Source organism: Homo sapiens, chromosome 4 (genome assembly GCF_000001405.40).
Source record: "Homo sapiens chromosome 4, GRCh38.p14 Primary Assembly".
In the NCBI taxonomy this organism is placed as follows: domain Eukaryota; kingdom Metazoa; phylum Chordata; class Mammalia; order Primates; family Hominidae; genus Homo; species Homo sapiens.
This window is the reverse complement of record NC_000004.12, coordinates 47726513-47750405: the sequence shown is the minus strand read 5'-3', so window position 1 is coordinate 47750405 and position 23893 is coordinate 47726513. Positions and strand designations below refer to the sequence as shown.

The 23893-nt window shown below is 37.3% G+C and overlaps 1 protein-coding gene across 3 annotated transcripts in view; it reads left to right on the top strand.

The window, feature by feature from the left end:
• The window catches only part of CORIN (corin, serine peptidase), a 244067-nt gene that overhangs the window by 87662 nt on the left and 132512 nt on the right, over nt 1–23893 (top strand). For all 3 annotated transcript variants that reach the window (NM_001278585.2, NM_006587.4, NM_001278586.2), the window contains one exon: nt 5823–6004. In NM_001278585.2, coding sequence (NP_001265514.1) covers nt 5823–6004 — 182 coding nt within the window. The remainder of the gene's footprint in view (nt 1–5822; nt 6005–23893) is intronic.

The following is a 23893-nucleotide window of genomic DNA, read 5'->3' as shown; positions in this document are numbered from 1 at the left end:
AATGAAGAAAAAGAAAGACACAGTCCTGGATTTTAGAGTCAGACCAATGTGACCAAAAAATACCACAAATGCTTCCATTATTTATCTTCTGATGGGAGACAATGACACATGTAAAAATTCCCTTGCACCGCTGTCCATCCCCACGTTTAGTGGAGTAGAAACCAAAGAAGCCTCTTTTCTGCTTCTCATACCCCGCTAAGCCTAACCTCTTATATGGTCTCTTGAGGTCGCAGAAGATGCTGACATAGGAAACCAATGCTGTTCGCTTATCATAGGGAGAACAAGCCATCTATTGTTATTTGGGTTTTCCAGTAGTGTTGTCATCTGTTGATTTATGTTCCTGTGTTATCTGTTGCTCATAGATTGTGCAAGGAGGTCAGATAGGCAAGATATTTGGGAGCACTGGACTGGAGTCACAGTATTTGGCTATGAAAATCTGTTTAGGCTTCAATTTCCTCATAATGCAAAAGGAGAAAATGGGAGTAGATTATCTTGGAAGATCCTTCCAGCATTAACATTCTCTTCACGACTAAGTAAGTTCTGCAGCTCTGGGAGGTGCCTGTGACTATGATTTTGTGAGCATTTTTCACTGAACAGCTCAGCCTAACAAAGACAAACTTAGGAATGTATTTTTAAAAAGATGATTGTGTGAGTCTTGTCAATGAATAGAACATCAAACTCAGTAGCATGCCTCTGACAATGTGATGTGTCAAGAAAAGTGTATTAGTTATATATTGCAAACTACCATAAACCTATCAGCTTAAAGCAACACACATATATTATTATACAGTTGCTATGGGCCGGATATCTGGGAGTGGCCCAGCCAGGTCCTCTGCTTTAGGGTCTGTCACATAGGTGAATTAAAGATGTTGGCAGGGTTGGGGTCTTATCTGAAGGCTTGACCTGGGAAGGATCAACTTCCAAGCTCATGTGATTCTTGGAAAAACTTCAGTTCCTTAAAGGCTTTGGTTGGAGGGTCTTAGTTCCTAGCTGTCTATTAGCCAGTGGCAACCTTCAGATCCTTGCCATGTGGGTCTCCTCAATATGACAAGTTGCTTCATCAAAGCCAGTAAGGGAGAGAGTCTGTTAGCAATGCAGAAGTCACAATCTTATGTAGACTAATGATGAAGTTGACATTCCATTACCTTCTGTTGGTTGGGAGCAAATCACTCAGGCAACCTACACTCCAGAGGAGGGGATTAAACAGGGCATGAATACCAGGAAGCAGAGATCATTGCGGGCCATCTTAAAGTCCACCTGTCACAAAGATTCTGTTTTTTTTTTTCTCATGAAAAAAGAGTTTTAAATTCTGAGTTCTCCTAATAATATTTAAAGATTAGTTTATTTGCCAAAAGTAAAAAGTGACAATTGAATGCAATGTGGGATCCTAAATGGAGATCCTGGCAAAATTCAAATAGGGTCCTTAGTTTTGTTAAAGATATTGTATCAATGCTAATGTCCTGGTTCTAATAATTATGCTACAGTTATGTAAGATGTTTACCTTAGTGGAGTCTGGATGAAGGATATATGGAAATTTTCTGTACTATTTTTATAACTTTTCTGTAAGTTTAACAGTAGTTCAAAATCAAAAGTTAAGAGAAAAATGATTTATAAAACTTAAAAATCCATTAACCATATAAGCCTGCTTTGTGGCTATGACTTATTTCATAATTTAAACTTTATGTCCTTATCAGAACTTGTTTTTTGCAGATAAAATCTATATATTAATTTGTATATATACTATAACAAAATTATTTGAAGATAAATTCTCTAACATTTTTATAGATAAACTGTACAAGTTTTGGTAGATAAATAATTTTATAACAGCCTTCCTAGTGAGAACACCATAAAAACTTCACTATCACTATATTGTAGTATTATTTATATAGCTATCAAATGTTTGAACAAATAATTATAGAGGAGGTATAAAAGCTTTCTGCTTTAACTTTAGTTGAAATGTACTAGGTACTTTTGCACAACACCAAATGCACTTCAGACATCAATTTAAAATAATCACCCTTTCTAAAATAGTTTTTAGATAGCTAAAGTGGTCTCCTTCCCTGTGCAGAGCTGTTTTAAAGTCATCAATCTGTTTGTTGCTTGGATATAGACACATATTCCAAAATAGTGTGGCCTATCTCACCACGCTGTTCCATGTGATGAAAAGCAAAATGCTTCAACCTTCCCTAGGCAGTTGAATTTTATGCAAAGTAAGAAAAAATGACTACACATTTTGCTCACTGTTGGAAAGTGTTGCTAGTTATTAATACCCCATCACTATTTCACATATCCTGGTCCAGCAGTTTAAAGCTTATGGGTCTCAGTTGGTTACACCTCTTAAGAGAACTATTTGGAAACACAGTAGACATTTTTCTTAGGCCCTATTTTTAGAATGGAGGGCCTAATGGTATTTTAATGTCTCTATATATTCCCAGAACAAATCTTGAGGAAAATGCCTGTTACCTTTTGAAATTTAGCAAATCTGGTGGGATTATCAGTGCTCCTCTGAGAAACATTGCCTTAAAGAATGAATTTTGACTTACAGAATGTTAGTAGTAAAAGGACTATGAAAAATGGTCCAAACTCCAGCTCTTCCAAAACCTTCACTTTTCAAATGAGGAAACTGAGTTTTGACATGAGTGAGCTATTGCCCAAGATTCAACAGTGGAGGAGTGGCCATGTGAAAGTTGCAGGGTGATAGACTGAGGCTTTCCTGTAGAAAAATGACCACCGTAAGAGTCAATGACAATGATTCCATTTCTGAATTAAAGACTTAACTTTAGAACTTGAAAACAGTCTGCTGGCCTCCTGTATGAAACTTCATTTTTGTTACCCTAGAAGGTTCTAAGAAAAGATGTAGAATGATAAATAAAATGAAATGAAATGAAATGAAATAAAATAAAATAAAATAACTCAGTTCAGAAATGAGGAAAGGTCCAGGAACTGCTTGGGAGAGTTGGGCTCCAGAGTGTTGTTCAGTTTGCAGACATCTTTCTCATCTTCAAAAAATGTTGAATGTTTTTTTTTCCCTTTAAATGGTATCTGGAATTTCATCAGTTAGAGATTCCATTGCCCCAGTGAGCAGTCTTCTTTTAAAGATGCAAAAATCTCTGGGAGGGTTAAGTGTTCATCTATTATTATGCATTATTCTGTGTTTTTTTCATCTATTTTCTTATTTAAAAGCTTAATTGAGATCAGCTGCAATTGGGAGTACTGTTTTGATTGTAGGAAGGGAATAATATGTTTCAAGCACTCTGGTAGAGGTGGCCATCTAGGTGGGGTGCTGGCATCGGGGTGATCACAAGGGCATTGGGACCCTGGGACCTTGGTCAAGAACTAGAAGGCAAAGGAGGAACACCAACGACAAGCCTAGCTTGTTTTATAGCTTTACTGTGGGCTGGCTCACACCTAGAGAAGAAAGCACAAATGTATTTACCCTTTCCTTGTGTTTCTTAGCCCCTTTGACAAATACTGATTCAATGCACATTTGTAGGCTTTTGTAGAATGGAGATCTCACCCATCACGTATATGATGGTGCCACTCACAAAGTGCATATCAAGATTTGCACTCTTGGCTGGGTGCGGTGGCTCAGGCCTGTAATCCCTGCACTTTGGGAGGCTAAGGTGGGCAGATCACCTGAGGTCAGGAGTTTGAGACCAGCCTGGCCAACATGTTGAAACCCTGTCTCTACTAAAAATACAAAATTAGCCGGGCGAGGTGGCGCATGCCTGTAATCCCAGCTACTCGGGAAGCTGTGGCAGGAGAATCGCTTGAAACCAGGAGGCAGAGCCTGCAGTGAGCCTATGGCGCCACTGCAGTCTAGCCAGGGCAACAAAGCCAGACTCCATTTGAAAAAAAAAAAAAGATTTGCGTTGTGCTTTCAAGACATGCATTCATGAAATTAGGACTTACTCGTAGTACAGTAGTAAATAGAATAGGTCCTGGGTCAATCTGCCCGAGTTCTAATCCCGGCTCTGACTCTCATTGCCTCAGTGAACTTGGACAAATGTCTTATTTGTCTGTGCTTCTTTCCTTATTTGTATATTGGGGATTAGTAATAACACCTATTACTCATCCTGTTCTGAGAAATCAGTGAGGTGATGCATGTGTGGTACTAAGAACAGTGCCTGGCAAACATAAGTAACTGCATATAGTAATTTTATGTTCTCCACCTTCCTTTACTGTGTATCCTAGTTTTATTTGAGAAAGTATATTCGCTAACTTCTCTGGGATAAGAGTCAGGACAGGCAGGAAATAATGAAAAACAGTGTTATTTAAGTGATCCTTTCTTAGTCCCAGAAATATCTAATATATTTCGGGTGTCTTCTTTATACCAAGAAACTTGCCTGAACCAATTCATATTTTATATGCTGAAGCTAATTCTTTCAAATACAAAACCTCTTCTTCAACATCCTCACTGTTGAATTTGGTTACATATTAATGTATGTAGACAATTATATGAAGATCAGTATTCCAAAAGATACTCAGTTTTAAGGTGACTTTCTGAGAGGAAGGTAAGATATTTTTATCTGAATGTAATTGTTGAATTCCCTTTTTCCATTTTTATGTACAAAGATCTCTGCCCTAAGATTATTTTACAGACCCTATTAGTTTCATTTGATCTCAACGGCTGGCCTATCCCCTTATGTTTTTGTAATCTGTAGAAGTATGAATGGGGTATTGTAAATGTGCTTGTTGGATCAAGGAGTTTTAAAAGCCCAACTATTAGGTCCTTAGAAGAGAAGAGACAGGGAGAGTAGGTAGAATGTGTCCTGAAACTTGAAACACCAGGATTCTATTCCTGCTTCTGCCATTAGGAGCTATTTGACCTCAAGTCTGTCCTAGAATCTCCCTGGAACTATCTCATTTGAAGGATTTGAATAAGGTATTGTTTAAGGTTTGTTACATATCTAATATTGTACGATTCTGTGATATCTTATTGGCTCCACATTTGTGAAGTGTATGCTTTGATTTAACTGACATGTCTATTTTCTTTCCCAGTTTCCTTAAAACTATTTGAAATGCTTTTAGCAATTGACCAGCCAGGGTGAGAGATGCAGCCTTCAGCTGTAAAGTAGAAACAATTACCTGGGTCTGCAAGGAAGCAAGTCCGTGGCCTTGACTTTGTTAGTATCCCATCTCCATCCACAGAGCTATGGATCTAGGACTGTTTCATGGCATGTTAAGTGAATAAAGATAAGCTCTGGGGGCATCATTACTCATACTATTAACAGACAATTGTGTGCATTTTTTTTTATTTTGCAGATGACAGACTAGAAATCTGAAAAGATAAATAACTGTACAAGGTCTTCCAAGTTGCCACTCATCTGTATAATGTTCATTTTCCAGGGAGGCTGGGGAAGTTAATAATGGAACAGCTTACTCTCTGCTGCCACTCAGAGATACTTGAATTTCTCAAAGGGAAGATAAAAATACAAGAATAACATATTTTTGACCTACTTCTTCCTTTGCAATCTGAGGGCCTTCGTTTCCATGTTAATTTTCCCCTTTTGATATTAAATAGAGCTCTTTTAGGCTGACAACTATATATTTTAGCCCAGTAAATATTAAACAAATTATTGATAAATGTTCCTACAAGAAATAGTTAGATGATGTGGAACTAGCTATTTCTTCTAGAATCAAGACCATAGAATAGCTAAAATCACTGTCATAGGACTGAATGTAAAAATTTAAGTTGCTGACTATAGTAAGTATAAATTAAGATAATATCACAACACAGGGGCTAACTTTAATTTCACTATTATTTCAAAACCTATTCTGTAAAGACACTAATTTTCACCTTTCTCTTTTTTTTTTTTTAGTCATGGACTCCTGCCCTGTAGGTCCTTCTGTGAGGCTGCAAAAGAAGGCTGTGAATCAGTCCTGGGGATGGTGAATTACTCCTGGCCGGATTTCCTCAGATGCTCCCAGTTTAGAAACCAAACTGAAAGCAGCAATGTCAGCAGAATTTGCTTCTCACCTCAGCAGGAAAACGGAAAGCAATGTAGGTGTCTGTGTTTCATTTCATTTTTAGAAGATTTTATTTGAGTATGCCATTTATACAGGAATGGATATAAATAATAAGTGTACAGTCTGATAAATTTTAACCAAGTGACAAGATCCATGTAACCAGAACCCAGATCAAGGAATAGAATATTAACAACATCCCCAGAAATGCCTTCAAGCCCGCTGCCTGTCATATCTCACCCTTCCAAAAGAAACCTCTATCCTTACTTCTATCACCTTAGTTTTGCTTACTTCTGAACTTCATATAAATGGAATCATACAATATGTAACTTTTTAAAACCTGTCTTCTTTTGCTCAGCATTATGTTCAAGAAATTAATTACATCTTCATATTGTGGTTCATTCATTCTCATTGTTATACAGCATTCTAATATATGATTGAACCAAAATATATTTTTCCATTTCACTGTTGATGGACATTTGCATTGTATCCAATTTTCAGCTATTACAGTGATGCTATTACTATTCTTGTGCATGTCTTTTTTTTTTTTTCTGGAGACAGAGACTTGCTCTGCCACCCAGGCTGGAGTGCAGTGGCATGATCTCAGCTCACTGCAACCTCTGCCTTTCGGGTTCGAGCAATTCTCCTGCCTCAGCCTCCCGAGTAGCTGGGATTATAGGTGCACGCCATCATGCCTGGCTAACTTTTGTATTTTTAGTAGAGACATGGTTTCGCCATGTTGGCCAGGCTGGTCTTGAACTCCTTATGTCGTGATCCACCCACCTTGGCCTCCCAAAGTGTTTGGATTACAGACATGAGTCACCGTTCCCAGCCTCTTGTGCCTGTCTTTAATTGAATATGGTTATATTTATTCAACAAAAAAGTTTTCTAAAGTGGTTGTACCAATTTATGCTCTTACCAGCTCCTTATAAAAGTTGTAGTTGCTCCAAATCCTTCCCAATCTTTAGCATTGTCAGTCTTTTTCATTTTAACAATTTTGATGGGAGTATTGTGAAATGTCTGTCCAAATATTTTGCCTATTTTTTGATGGTCTGTCTTTTTGTCTTCAGTTTATAGTTTTGTATGAATTCTGGATACAAGTCATCTGTTGGATATATGTATTGCAAAGATCTCATGCCCTATGGCTTGCCTTTCTACTCTTATTAGCATCTATGATGGAATAGAAGGTCTTAATTTTAATGGGTCCATAATATCAATCTTTTCTTTTGTGTTTTTTTTTTCTGTGTCTTAAGAAATCTTTGCTCACCCCCAAACATAGAAGTTTTTCTCCTATGTTTCTTCTAGAATCTTTATTGTTTTGACATTCAGTTTTACATCTACTATAATTCTGGAATTATTTTTTGTGCATGGTGAAAGGTAAAAGATAGGAATTAATTTTTTTCTATGTGTATATTCAATTGACCCACCACCATTTAATTATTTAGAAGACAATTTTTCCCTCTGCACTGTAATATCACTGCTGCTATCAATCAAGTGAATGATTACATGTATATCTATTTTTGAACCCTCTAATTGACAGAATAGAATTAAGACAATACCACACTATCTGGATTACTATAGTTTTATAGCATCTTTATATTGAATATTATATGTCCTCTATCTTTGTTCTTCTTAAAGATTGACTATTTTTGGCCCTTTGCGTTTAATGTAAATTTTAAAATCACTATGTAATTTCCACAAATGCTGTTTTTGTTTTTGTTTTGTTTTTAAATTGGGACTGCATTAAATATATAGATCAAATTCAGGAAAATTTCTTTACAACAGTCAGTCTTCCAACCATAACAATTATATACTATGGTAATATTTAAGTAGGTATTTTCAATGAGGCATTTTAAAATTTCTCTCAATTATGTGTTATAGGTTTAACCATAGAGATCTTGCACATCTTTAGATTTATTTGTGGTATCTGGTATTTTTGATGTTATTGTAAATTATATATTTTTAAAACATTTCCTTTATTTTCTGTTTTTATGTATCCAAGAAATTTGATAAATCACTCAACAATTTTTATAATTTGTCTGTAAATTCATTTGAATTTTCTAAGTACACAATCATGTCATCTAAAATAATGACAATTTATTTCCTCCTTTTCAGTCATTCTGCTTTCTGTTTCTTCTATGTCAGGAAGAAGGTTTTCAATATTTCACCTTTAATTCTGATGTTTGGTGAAGGGTTTTTAGGATACTCTTGGTCAGATTAAGGAAGCTCTTTCTATTTGTAGTTTGCTAAGACTTTTTAAAAAATCCTGAATGGGTTTTGAATTTTATTATTTTTTTCTATATCTATTAAGATGATGTATTATTTTTTCATATTATGCTAGTTACCTTTTAGAAATGCCAGCTTTACTGAGATCATTCACATACTATAAAATTCATCTCTTTAAAGTATATTATTAAGTGGTTTAGTATACACACAGAATTGTACAACCATCATAATCATCTATAATAATTTCAGAATGTTTTTATCACCCTAGAAAGAAACCTACACGCATTAGCAGTAAATTGCTATCCCTCTCCTCAGCCCCTGGTAAACACTAATTAACTTTCTGTTTCTATAAACATGACTATTTTGGACATTTAATATGAATTAAATCATACAGTATGGGACTCTTGTGACTGACTTCTTTCACATAGCAAAATATTTTCAGGGTTCATATATGCTGTAGCATGTATTATTAGTACTTCATTCATTTTTATTGTCAATTGATACTCCATTGTAGGAATATACCACATTAAAAATCCATACATTAATTGAGGAATATTTGGACTGTTTTCACTTTTGGACTGTTATGAATAATGCTGTCTGTATAATATTTGCGTATAAGATTTTGTGTTTTTGTGTGGACATACTGTTTTAATTCTCTCAGCTATATACCTAGGAGTAGAATTGCTGTGACTAGTATTAACTCTATGTTTAACATTTTGAGGAAATGCCATTCCTACAAACAATGTATGAGGGCTCCAGTGTTTCCACATTTTCACCACACTTGTCTCTTTTGTTTATAGCTGTCCTAGTTGATGTGAAGTGGTATCCCATTGTGGTTTTGATTTGCAGTTTGCTAATGACTAATTATGTTGAGCAACATGTCATGTGCTTGTTAGTGTTAGCCATTTGTATGCCTTATATTGAGAAATATCTATTCAAATACTTTGCCCATTTTAAAATTAGGTTGCCTCTTTAAATTGTTGAATTGTCAGGTTCTTTATATATTCTGGATGCAAGTGTGCCTTTTAAGCTATATAATCTTCAAATATCTTCCTACATTCTTCGGGGGCTGTTTTCATTTTAACAACAGTTTTTAACTTTGAGGAAGTCCAGTTTATCTGTCTTTTCTTTTGTTGTGTATGCTTCTAGTGTATGTATTTTAAAAATTGGCTAATACAAGGTGACTAATTATTTATTCCTTTGTTTTCTTTTAAGATTTTAATAGATTTAGCTCTTATATTTAAGTCATTGATCCATTTTAAATTAACTTTTCTGTATGTTGTGAAGTAGGAGTCCAACTTCTTTCATTTGCGTATGGAAATTCAGTTGTCCTAGTATGTATTGTTGAAGAGCTATTCTTTCCCACTGAATGGACTTGGAGCCCCTTGTTAAAAAACAATTGGCCATAGATGTATGGGTTTATTTCTGGACTTTCAATTATTTTTTATTGATCTATCTATCTTTCTTGATTACCACAGTTTGCAATACATTTTGAAATTATGAAGTGTGCATACTTTAACTTTTTAAGGATTACTTTAGCTATCCTGGGTCCCTTGCCTTTCTGTATAAATTTTAGGATTAACTTGTCAATTTCTGAAAAAAATTCAGCTATAATTTTGATAAAGATTACATATGTAAATATACCATTCAATCTTTGCTAAAAGAGCTGGAATGGCTATACTAATATTTGATCAAATAGATTTTAAAACAAAATTGTTATCAGAAAAGAGGAGGGATTTTTTAATGATAAAGGGTCAATTCGTCAGGAAAACATAACACAGAGCCAGAAATACTTAAATCTGACAGAACTGAAGGAAAAATAGACAATTCAACCATAATATTCCACTGTCAATAATGAGTAGAACTAGGTAGAAGATTAAAAGGGAAATACAAGACTTACAAAGCACGATAAACCAATGAGATCTAATAGACATCTGTAGTACACTCCACCCAGCAATAGAAAATATGTGTAAACACATAGGCACCTAAAAATTTCCATTTTTGAGCTTACAACCTATTTGTGTTTCTGAATATAAAGTATGCCTTTTACACACAGTATATAATTGAATCTCATATTTTTATCTATGAGACAAATCTCTGCCTTTTGATTGTAGTGTTTAATTCATTTACACTTAATGTAATTATAAGTATTTGCATATGCTGTTTTGAAATTTGTTTTCTCTATGACTTTTGTATTTCTTGATCCTTCATTACTGACTTTTTTTGTGTTAGATATATTGGGGTGTGCCATTTTAAATTTCTTGTTGCTTGGCTATTTTTTTTAGTTATTCTTATTGGTTGTGCTGGAACTTAAAATTAACGTCTTAAGTTATAACAGTCTAGTTCAGATGAATCCTAACCGAATTTCAACAATATCTACACTTTGCTTCTGTATAGCTTTGTTTCTTTTTCCTTCTTTGTACCATTATGTATACAAATTACATCTTTATATAATATAATCTCAACATAGGTTTATTGATTATGATTATAAATTATTTATGCAGTTGTTTTTAAGAATCAGATAGGATAATAAAAGATTTATAGAAAAAATACATTTCTTTTATCTTACTTTTACCTATTTAATTACCTCTACCAATACCTTTTATTTCTTCATATGGATTCAAGTTGCTGTATACTGTCCTTTTATTTTATCCCAAAGGACTTCCTTTAGTACTTCTTACAGGGTGGTTCTGTTAATAGCAAATTCTCTCCACTTTTGTTTATCTGGGAATATCATAATTTGTCTTTCATTTTGAAAGGATATTTTGCTGTACATAGAATTTCTGTTTGACAGTCTTTTATTTTCAGCACTTTGAATATGTTATCCCACTTCCTTTTGGACTCCTCAGTTTGGATGAGAAGTCAGATGTTAACCTTTCTGAAGCTCCATTTTATCTGATGAGTTGCTTATCTCCCAGTGTTTTCAAAATTTTCTGTGTCTGATTTTTGATAGATTAATTACAATGTGTCTAAGTGTAGATCCTTTAGAGTTTATTTGAATTTTTGTACTTCTTTGTTATGCAGATGTATGTTTTTCTCCAAATTTGAGAAGTTTTCAGCTATTATATCTTCAAACATTCTTTCTGACTCATTCTTTTATCTCTTTCTGGGACTCCCATTATGAGTATGTTGGTACATCCTCCAAGTCATTAAGGACCTTTTAATTTTTCTTCTTTTTTTTCTTTCTGTTCCTTAGACTAGATAATCTCAGCTTACTTATCTTAAAGTTTGCGGATTTTCTCTTCTGCCTGATCAAGTCTGCTGTTAAGTCTTTCTAGTAAATTTTTAATTTCAGTTATTATATATTTTACTGCATAATTTCTAATATTTTAAAATAATCTATATATCTTTATTAATATTTTGTATTTTTTGAGCCATTGCTCTTATACTTCCCTTTAGTTCTCTAGAAATGTGTTCCTTAGTTCTTTGAATGAGTTAAAATAACTGATTTAAAAGTCTGTCCAGTAAATTCAATGTCTGAGCTTCCTCAGGAACAGTTTTTGTTGACTGTTTTTTCCCCCTCTATATGGGCATATGTTCCAGTCTCTTTGGACATCTTGTAATTTTTTGTTGAAAGTTGGACATTTAAAATAATATAATGTTCAACTCTGCAAGTTGAATTCTTCCCCCCAACATTAGTTGCTGTTTCTGTTTCTTGTTGCTTTAATTATTGTTATTTATTTGTTCAGTGAGTTCCCTGAAACAAATTATGTTAAGTTTGTTCTTTGTCATGTCTGGCCACTGAAGTTTTTGCCCAGATAGCAGCCTAGTGGTCAACTAATGGTTGGACAGAATTTCCTTAAATGCCTTTAACAGGTATATATCCTAGTCTTTGCCAAGGGATTCTGTGCATGTTAGGGTGCATAGTCAGTACTGTAGCAGAGTCGACACTATAGCAGAGTCAATGCTATAGCAGTCAATACTATAGCAGAGTTTACAGCTCTGCCTTATCCTTAAATTTCTGCTTGTACAGGGTCTCAATGTCTGCCACAGGTGAGATATTTGGGCCTTTCTGGGTCCTTCTTAGGTATATGCATAGTCCTGCACATTCATGGGATCTTCTAGATTCTCAGCAATGTATTAGAGCTTTTCAAATTTTCCTACAGGAATTCCCCACATTTTTCTTTTAATTTTTCTGGTTAGCTTCTTGTTTGCCCCAAGTGATATCCCCACCTCAGACAGTTACAGTGTTAATCGATTATTAATTTTTTTTTTTAGAAACACCCCGGGGAAAAGGCTTTTGCACTGAGTAAGCTCTTATTCAGGTCAAATAATCACATTTGCTCTGAGTTTCCAGGGAGCTAACAGACAAGAAAAATAATGACAATTCTTTGGTAATGGGGCATTGTGGAGAGCTCCAAGCATGTTTTGCCCCTTCTAGTGGCTGCTTGGCTGCTAGTTTTCACAGCTGATGTAGTTGTGAGGTTATCTAGATCAATAACCATATCTTATCACCTGCTTTCTTAGACCATGTCTGACACTAGGTGCTAAAAGTTGAGTTTTCTGCAAATAGTAACTGAGATGGAGTTTGGTGTACAGAGTATTTATTAAGCTTCAGCCTTTGTGTTAAGGGAGGGAGAGAAAGCAGAATTGGGCAGAAGGAGTTGAAATATGATCCAGGCCCACCAAAGCCTCAGCTAAATCCTTGGGGAGTTCTGGAATGTATTAAGCCTACAAGAGTTATCTCATGTTGATCCAAAATAGTTGAGTCTATGTGTCTCCACCTCAATCAGTCATTGGATGTGGTCCTTCCTGGGAAGAGTGTGCCACTGAGTGAGGCAGATCTCTTCAGTGTTCCACAGCTGAGGCAAAACCCGAAGGATCTGACAGCTAAAGGCAGTGGGCCAGCAAATGTAGCAATAGATTCTTGAAGGGTAGACATATATGGCCAGATCGTATATGTGATATGGGCCAGACACATATATGATCACACGTATGTGCCACATATATGATCACTAGGCACATATGGGGCCAGATAGCCTTAATTTAATCAGAGACTAAGCTGATTTTGCCTCATTGTTATAAGGCTCCGTCTACCTCTGGTTTTTCTCCATTCTGAGAGTGTGGTTCTCCAGTAGTCTCAACTGAGAAACTGGTAGGCTTACTATATTCCCTTCCTCCTTGAGTAGTTCCAAATTTTATTTTATTTTCTGCTCAGAGCAGTATAATTTCTGTAATTTCCATTCTACTTTTCTGAAGTTTTCTGCTTAGTTCTTTAGGCTCCTGCCCTCTGTGGCAAATGCCTTGCAAGGCAACCCTCCCAAGTGATAGATCTGCTTCTCTATGTCTCCCCTTTCACTGCTCACCTGGCCCCTTAGTATCTGGCTGCTTCAGCAACACCAAACTCTAATTTTTGTCTCTTCGCCTTTGTGGAATTGCCAAAAGTTCTGCTGGCTTATCTTGTCTTTGCAGTGGTCACATGTGTAGCACCATGCCAAGAACTGGCAAGTTCCATGAAGGACAAGGCATACACAGATTGTAGACTCTTAGGGCATGTTCTCACTTAGCTAAATGATAAGAATACATAGACACATAGAGGGGAACGACTGATACTGGGGTCTACCAGAAGGTGGAGGGTAGGAGGAGAAAAAGGATCAGGAAAAATAATTAATGGGTACTAGGCTTAATAAGTGAGTGATCTGTACAACAAACCCCCATGACACAAGTTTACCTATATAACAAACTTGCATATGTACTTTTGAACTTAAAATAAAACTTTAAAAAAGAATGTAGACTCTTTGTTCTATAGTTATCTTCTCTCTGGGACCTTGGCCACTCACATCTTAATTATCTCATCAGCTCTCAGATGCCTTCCAACAGATGTTTCTTGTGTTTTATCTGGCTTTTCTAGTTGTACTTGACAGGGGCATTGATCTGCTGCAAGTTACTACCTCATGGCCAGAAATGGAAGTTTGTTTTCTTTTTCACACGTTGTTTAGTAGAGGTCTGCTGCTAAATTAGGATTCCCTCCAAAAGATAGTATATAGCTAAAAGCCACTAGAAGGCTGAGTGAGTAAAACTGAAAGAGAAGTCCTTTAAGTCTTTTCTGTTTTAACTACATTTTCTCCTGTTTTATAAGAATGCTTACAGTCTTCATTAGTGGTAATTTGGAAAATGTAACCCATTGATACGGGATTTAAGAATTCATAGAGAAAACTTGAAAATAAAAAAATCATCAGTGTTATGTAACACTGTTGCTCAAAACATATCAGTTCTTGAAAATCAAAATAACATTATTAGTATCCTCTTTTTTTTTTTTTTTTTTTTTTTAAGATGGAGTCTCTGTCGCCCAGGCTGGAGTCTCTGTCGCCCAGGCTGGAGTGCAGTGACGCGATCTCTGCTCACTGCAAGCTTCGCCTCCCGGGTTCACGTCATTCTCAGGAGAATGTCTCAGCCTCCGGAGTAGCTGGGACTACAGGTGCCCACCACCACTTCCGGCTAATTTTTTGTATTTTTAGTAGAGACGTGGTTTCACCGTGTTAGCCAGGGTGGTCTTGATCTCCTGACCTCGTGATCCGCCCGCCTCGGCCTTCCAAAGTGCTGGGATTACAGGCATGAGCCACCATGCCCAGCCCATTATTAGTATTTTTTAATAACAAACTAAAATGCCACTTAAAACATTGGCTCTCTAATATCAGAGGATATTGCAAATATTCTAATCTTGGAAGAGATTGATGATCTTGGAAAAAATCTTAGAAAGATTGATGAAACATTTATATTTAAAAATGTATGTTTAAATAGAACAGAAATTTCCGAAGTACACTCATCTGAGATCCTCTACTTGTCAGATAATCTTTTTTAGAATTCTTGGTTGTAATATTTTTTTCATGTAGAGATAATTCTCCAAAAATGCATCTGACAATTGGTGTTTGATGTAATATTTACCTAGAATTTAAAATAAGTATTCTGTCTCTTGCTTTATGGGTAAACAGGATGCTAGACACTATTCATAGTTTGTGTGCTATAGAGAAAGTCACTGCCAGCTACAATCTTTGTATATGCATAAGAATGTAATTTCTTGTATACACAGACATAGTTACTAAAAAGTGTAAGAATATATTGTATGCCAACCAGCAAAGTGTTTATTATATAATACAGTCTTAATCATATAAGGGATTATGCTATAGAGCCACTTTATAAATACAACTAATGTAGTTTTTCTTTCATTTTTTCATTCAATATTGATTGAGCACTTTTTCTTTTCTGCGTATCATTCCAGGTACTCTGAAAAAGTAAAAGTAATTATGATGACCATAATTTTAATCTGTATCTGTTTAACGCATTGGTTCTTCACTAGGGGTGATTTTGCAGCCCCCATTTGGGAACATTTGGCAATGTCTGTAGACATTTTTGGTTGTCACAACTGTGAGAACAGGGGGAGTTGCTACTAACACCTAGTAGGTAGAGGCAAGATATGCTGCCAAACATCCTACAATGTACATGCAGGACAGCCTCCCACAACAAAAAATTACATGGCCTAAAATGTTAGGAGTGCTGCTTTTGAGAAACCGTGGTCCAGGGCTATATGTTTTGCAAAGTACTTTCTAACAGTAATAATTATAATAATAGTTTAACATACTTCCTACCTTTAAGGAGTGTTAAACCTAATCTGTGATACCCACGTGTAAGAAACAGAATGTTAAAAGAGCATTAATAACTACATGTAAATATGCTGTGATACAGAAAGTATAAAAGGACACAGGTTAAATGTCAATGGAATAGAGTGAAGTCAATTACATAAATGAATCCTGAATATTTTAAAAGAGAAAGGCTCCTACTTAGCAAAGGGGACGGAAGAAGGTGTTCTGGTGAAGATATTCGGCACTGTGGACTTGCGTTGGGTGTCAGGTTCCTAATTAGCCGATGAAATGAATGGTGACTAAAAGTTGACTCTTGTCTCAATCGTCTTCTTCCAACTTGTGAAATCATTTGCCCAAGGAAATAGTAATTCCCTCCCTTTACATTATGTACCCCATTCTCCTTTCTGAAGTGCTTTCACAGCTGTTAGTTCAATTTGCTTTCAGAGTAAATCTCCAAGGTATTATCATCTTTATTTTATAAATTAAGAAACTGAGGTTCAGGAGGTCATTCCCAGCTTATTTTAAATCCAGTCCCCCAGGCTCCATCCTCCCCCAAATAGTCCACCATCCTGGGACCATCTTGAGATTTGATTATTAATCCTTATTAATACCCGCCGCTACAGCCCCCTTCTCACAAGAGCTCTCACGTGTCTTTCCAGAGTGAATCGAGCCAAAACCCACAACTTGTAACAGCTGCTTTTCCCAATGCTTAGCTCTGTAAATTCGATTCATCTTCTCTTAATATCCTTTAAGTCAGTCATAACTCCTAAGGTATTTTGTTCCCATATAGAAGGACACACAGTTGTCTTATCCTTTCTATCTTATGTTGATGCTAGGTCTTGTAAAGTAAATAATGTGCTAAAGTGATAATGCTGTGGGAACTGTTCGTCAGAGGTTTTAAAATAAACATTTGTGTGTTTCCATAGTTGAGATGTGAGAACTCAGGGGGCTAAAGTTCAGGACCTATCAATCATGCTGAGCTTTCTGACTAATCCTTTACCTAGTCTGTAATCATATATGGAAAGTTGATTTTAAATCGTATTTCTGTGGGCCTGAAGAGATCTCTCTGCCATGAAAGAACTTCAGTTATTTATTCATTCATTTTCCTCTTCCTTTTCATAGCACCTTATTTGCTCTGCCTAGCTCCGGTTGCTGCTAGCAACCATTTCAGTGCACAAGCAGCAAAATGATAGTTTCAGGATCCTGGTAAAACACATAGTCCGAATTTCTCCTATTGAATTGTGGGTTTATTTGGAAGAAATAATTTAATACTATTTCTTTGAGGTACTTACATCAATATTTTGCTAGAGATAGATGAGGTACTTATATGGATATTTTGCAAATAGCATCGTGAAGGCGCTGAGCATGTCTCTCAAGCCCTTTAAACCTCTATTGCTCCAACTTTACAATAGAAATAATAATACCTAAGTGGTAGAATTGTGTTATGGGCTAAATGGGATAATGTATTTCAGATAACTTCTTTATTTGAGAGAAGCCACATGCCCTGTGCAAATGTAAATCCTTCAATTCAACAGACATGTAGTAAGTATATTCTATGTACCAGGCAGTTTACCAGGAACTGGAGAAGGCATGAAGACAGGCATATTTTTAAAGAGTTCATAGGCCAGTGGAGAGATGGACATGGGACGCACAGACACAGACCTGAGACAAGGAGTTGAGCCATGGTACATTTGGGAGAGACGCGAGACAGTGGTGGGGTGGGGGTCACGGGAGTGGGAAGGGAAACAGGCCAATAAAGAGTAGATTACTGGCCAGGCGCGGTGGCTCACACCTGTAATCCCAGCACTTTGGGAGGCCAAGGATGGTGGATCACTTGAGGTTAAGAGTTCAGAGACCAGCCTGGCCAACATAGTGAAACCGCGTCTCTACTAAAAATATAAAAAAGCCGGGCGTGGTGGCGTGTGCCTGTAATCCCAGGCCCTCAAGAGGCTGAGGCAGGAGAATTGCTTGAGCCTGGGAGGCGGAGGTTGCAGTGAGCTGAGGTCGTGCCACTGCACTCCAGCCTGGGAGATGGAGCAAAACTCCATCTCAAAAAAAAAAAAAAAAGAGTAGATTACTAAACCAGCTACCATAGTGGGCAACTGGAGCAATCCCATGGGAAAATCTGGGAACTAGTGTACAACATATGGTTTAGAATTAGTCTACTAGAGGGGTGAGGGAGCTGGGGTATGCACTTCCTTTAGTCTTTGAAACTGACAGTATCTGTTACAGCCCATAAGGACAATGTCCTATAGGAGAAGAGATGTGGGGTTGTGAAGGAGGGAGTATAAACTTGGCTGCCCCCTGCAATGGAAGACTTTTGTCTCTGTTGGTTTCTTCTTCATTCGTAGCACTCTTTGCCTTTGGTTTCTAGCACATTTCTATTCTGATCTGCCTGTCACTGCCCTGGCCACCCTCTAGTCTCCTTCCTTTGTCTACTGGCCCCTTAAATGTTGATATTCCACAGGATACTATTTTCAACCTTCTTTTCTCAACATCTTATATATTTTCTCTGGGAAATCTCATATTTGCTTATAGCCACATATGCACTGATGATTCTTAAATCTATCTATCATCCCCAATTTTATTCCACTTCCCTAAGCTTCAAACCTCCATTCCACTGTCCTTGCTTACACCTCTCAAGAAAAACTCCTTTGTCCCCACATCTCCAAGGGTCTCTACCTGTGTGGCTATATCCCATAGTAGTTCTCAGTAGTTTTTGACCTCCAACAACATTTGCTAATTTTTTTTCTTTTTTTTTTTTGAGATGGAGTCTTGCTCTGTCACCCAGGCTGGAGTGCAGTGGTGCAATCTTGGCTCACTGCAACCTCCGCCTCCTGGGTTCAAGCAATTCTTCTGCCTCAGCCTCCCAAGTAGCTGAGACTACAGGTGTGCGCCACCACACCCAGCTAATTTTTGTATTATTGGTAGAGATGGGGTTTCACCATGTTGGCCAGGCTAGTCTCGAACTCCTGACCTTGTGATCCACCTGTCTCAGCCTCCCAAAGTACTGGGTTTACAGGCGTGAGCCACCGTGCCCGGCCAGCATTTGCTACATTTAATCACTCCCTCCTACCTGATAAACTCTTCACCTGACTTCCAATTGGGTTTTCCTCTTTCTTTGGCCACTTAGTCTAGTCTCCTTTGTGTTTTCGCCTCATTTCACCTGTAGACACTGGAGTGCCTCAGGCCTTGGATCTCTCTCCTTTTGGTGATCTAATTCAGGCTCATGGCTTTAAATACCACTGGTACACTGACAACTACAAATGCGGATCTCTAGCCCACATCCCTCCTCTGACCTCTGGACCTGCATGCATATGTATGCTTGCAGCATGCAGACACACACACACACAAATTTGCCTTCTATTTGTTTCTATTTGAGTTTCTAAAAGGCATGTCAAACGAAACAGATACAAAACCAATCTGATATTGCCCATGCACTTTCTCTTCTCCCAGCTTTTCCCTCCTTAGTCAATAACAATGTAGTTCTTTCAGTTGTTCTAGTTAAAAACTTGGGGTCATCCTTGACTCTTCTTTTTCTCTTTCACTCCATACCTGATTTGTCTGTAAATTTTAGTGGTTCAACTGTCAAAATGTATGCGTGATCCAACCAGTGCTCACTATCTCCACAACCACCGGGCCCAGCTCACTTGGATTTGTGCCTGGATTATCCTTCCAGCCTCATTATTGGCTTCCTTGCTGCCTCCCTCTGCCCCTTTGGGCTATTACTGCCTCTTCCTTGATACCTCCCTATGCACACAGCAGAGAAAGGGATCTTTTAAACTTTCACATCTATTCTCTCTAAGTTTCCTAAGGCTTTCCCTCTCACTCAGTATAAAAGCCCTTGGTCTTTACAACTGTCAGGACTTCATCAGTATTGCTGCATTGCACAACTGCGGGAGAATACCAGTCATATAGAAAGCAATGTGAATAGTAAAACGGGAGAGTTCCCTGATTCCCCTCTCAGCACATGCAACAGGGGTGTCTCCTGTGTGGTCACCCTGCAGCTCAAACCCCTAGGGGGAGCATGCAGATGGGCAGGTGCAGAGGCCTGCAAGAGTGCTTTTGGGCTCCAGCCCCACCGCAGGGTCTGGGGGTGGGTGTCTGTGGCTCCTGAAGCCCAAGTGGGCAAGCTCTTTTTTTTTTTTTTTTTTTTTTTTGAGATGGAGTCTCGCTCTGTCGCCCAGGCTGGAGTGCAGTGGCACAATCTCAGTTCACTGCAACCTCTGCCTTCCGGGTTCATGCGATTCTCCTGCCTCAGCCTCCCGAGTAGCTAGGACTACAGGCAGCCGCCACCACGCCTGGCTAATTTTTGTATTTTTAGTAGAGATGGGGTTTCACCATATTGGCCAGGCTGGTCTCGAACTCCTGACCTCGTGATCCGCCTGCCTCAGCCTCCCAAAGTGCTGGGATTACAGGCGTGAGCCACCGCGCCCGGCCTGCAAGCTCTTTTAAATTTGCCTTCTGCAGACAGCTTGTGTGTTAATCAACTCAATGGACCCTCTGCCCTATCGCAAGGGCAGGGAGCCAGTGTGACAGCCTTCTGTACCCCAAGTTCTTGCCCAGTGTGTACTGGAAGAATTAGATCACACGTGAGCTCCAAGGATGAGTGCAAGGTTTTATTGAGTGGTGGAGGTGGCTCTCAGCGAGGTGGATGGGGAGCCGGAAGCAGGGGAATGGAGTGGGAAGGTGGTCTTTCCCTGGAGCCGGAGCACCCAGCGGCCAGACTTCTCCGCTGAACTCCCCTCTGTGGCCGAACCTCTCTCTTCTCTCTTTCTCTGCCAAGTTATTCCGTTTTCACTGATCTGCTGGTTCCGATATTCAGCCGCTCCGTGTGTGTGCGCGCTAAGGTCTTGGGTTTATATGAGGGCAGGATGAGGGGTGTGGTGGGCCAAAAGGCAACTTTTTGGGTGTGAAAACAGAAATGCCTGTCCTCACTTAGAGCTGTGGGTCTTCCAGCTTAAGGGTGGGGCCTTTGTTGGGGAACCGCCCTCTTCTACCCAGCATTTCCACCTCCCGTCTGTATCATTTGTGCCTCCTAGAGTTGTGCAACATAGACATCCCACTCTACATTATCTGGCCCTGATTGCGTCTCTGACTTTTCTCCTAATGTTTTTGTTTTTGCTCTCTAGGCTGTAGCTACTCTGTTCCATCTGCTGCGACGTTCTTGCCCCAGATATCTCCCCTCAGTTCTTTTAATCAGCTGTCAGAAACTGTCTGTAGGGCTGTTACATAGAACATGCTAGGGAGAGTGGTCAAAAATGAGATGAAGAAGAGAAGCTATGTAAGAAACAGCTGTCATTATTGGGTAGTGATAGAGCTAAGGATATGCCAGAATTCTTATGAAGAAACTTCATGATCAACTTTTCTGGTATTTAACATTTCATTTTGCTGTAACTTGAAGCTTTAAAAATACTTTTAAGTCCCTAACAACTTCTTTTGATCTGTGACCACGAGAAATGCTCATCCTGTGAGTTTCCACTGTTTTTCTGGGAGAATTACAGGCTTGTTTTGACTTTGCTATGCCACATACCCAGGATAAAGAAGCAGTGCCAGATAAAATCGTTTTCTTGTTGAGCCTAAATACTACCTGTTCTCTGCGGGCTCCGTAATTCTTGTTTATAGATCATTTGAGATTAAGTTTCTATTCTCTGCCAAATATTGCTTTGCTTGAAGTGGCACAGTGGTTCCTAAAACAGAAATATAGAGGTTTTCTTTCCTCATCTGCATTCATTCTTCTCACTCTCTTGCCAAGCTAGCTGCTTGGCTTACAGGTTGATAGCTCAGAAGCTCAAGATCATAGGTTGATCCTTGGGCTTCTTACAGAATATTATTTTGTTCAGTGGCTGGAGACCAAGACCATCTTCATTTTGTCAATATTATGCCTCTGAATCAGAAATCAGAATCACATTTCAGAATCACAATCAGAAATCCACATTTGTGGTCTTACAGATTACAGTAGAATATGGAAATTTTTAGCAACAAGTCAAAAGTCTGATATTATTTAATATGTATGATCATAAGTGCACATCCCTGAGTCTATTTTGGTCAATAATCAGTTCTGATTACTCTAACAAGAATGCTGCTCATTTGCTATTCAAAACATCATCTATTTTAGTTCTGTATTCAGCTTTGTACGCCCCATCATGGTCAATTTAATCATAGCTGATAGATCTTTACAGAACCAGGTAAATGAAAAACAAAATGCTGGTTTTTTTTCTTTCACATAGCAGAAATATTAGCTTAGTTCTAAGTTTCGTATTTGTTTCCCAAAATTCCTGGGAAAGGATACTATCTATGTCTTTTAGGTGAACATTATTCTTTAAGCTTAATCAGTTCTTTTTGATATTCTCAACAGTAATGTGGCAGTTATCTAGTAATTCAGACATCCTAGAGTTTGAACTCTAAACTCTGGGCCACCCACTGAAAATAATGCATGATTCAGAATCATCACATGAAAATCTATGAATCTCTTTTGAAATTGTGACTTCATTCTGCTAAATAGCATTGTGAGCTTCATAACTGCAATTCCATTGAGCTCAGCAATTGGGAAGCAATTTGAAGTCTCCATTCTCACCTGCTCTATCCATATGTTTATTTTGTGTCTGAAACCCTGCACACATTTAAACAAAAAGTTAAGCTCTTATCGAGGAGGCAGTGCAACATAGTGTTTTAGATATGTGGTCTTCCAAATATTTTTGCTGTGTACCCTCAAAGGATTTTGACAAAGTACACAGCCCTTGTACAATTTTAAATTAATATCTACAAAATTTTAACTGTGAATGTAAATAGTGTCAGATAATAGAATTTAAAGACTATTATAATAATTGACATATAACTATTTTAAATGTGTCTAGTGAAACCTAAATCCCATAGTGCCTTGACATTCACCAAACATTAAAAAATTATAAGCTCCTCTTGTAACATTCAGCAAATTTTACTTTGCTCCTTTTTCTCTCTGAAGTCATTTCTATTTCCTTTCACCTACAGAATTTCATTACAGTGTAATATCTTTTTAATGCTTAGATTATTTTTATCCCCCTACCATGCATCTCTAGAACAAAACTGTGCATAAAATGGAAATTATTACTTTAAAAAACTTTCCTTCAGTCATAAGACTCTGTCAACAGTTTATTTTCTGATTAATTTATCAAAAAGTTGTACTTTCAATCTATTATAAATGTTTATAAATAATTACTAACCTTAAATGTGACACATATTAGAATTCCATATCTTGATGTATTAGATGCAGTTTATTTTCTTTGAACACTGGTTTGTGTAGACTATATCAGAGTTTGGCATCAATTGTGTTCCTACTTTTTTCTTCTAGATGGTAGTGCTTTGAAAACTTACTCATATGATTAAACACATGGGCATAGAAAGAGTTTTATTGAATAATGGCATTCAATTATTTGAGAAGCTTCCCACTGTACTGTCAAAAAGCAAATAGTAATGATTTATCATTAAAATTATTTTTAATGATTAGATGACAACTTGATTAGATTCTCCTTCCATTTTTGAAAGCACAGACTTGGAAAGCACCTTACTTGCAAATGAATTTGTTACCCAGTCAGTAAAGCCATGCATGGTCTCTACTTCTGAGAATATTGCCAGGATTTATCAAATATCTGTTTATTACTCTTTCACTTTGAGGCACTTTGTTTAGCTCTATATATTCAGAAAAATTTATAAAAAATGGAAATATTGGTTAATTTCAATTAATTTTTTCTAATACAATATTTTAATAAAATGCTTTTTATATTATTACATGCTTTAAATATATATTTATCAAAACTTGGAGCTGTCAGTTTTGTTCATCCAGTTTATGTAAAATTTATCTAACTAGTAATGCCAGTCTTCAATGTCAAAACTTATTCATCAAATCAGAGTTACTTTCTGAAAGAAATAGGCTGACTTTAGTTTTTATGTTTAAATTTCCATACAATGAAATTCACTGTATGTGTGTGTATATATAGTTCTGAGTTTTAACACATGCATAGATATTTGTAACCACCACAAAATTAGATTACTGAACAGTTCTATCATCCTACATATATCATCTTCGTCTTGTCCTTTATGGCCAAAACCACACTCCAAACCTCTGGAAACTGCTGATCTGT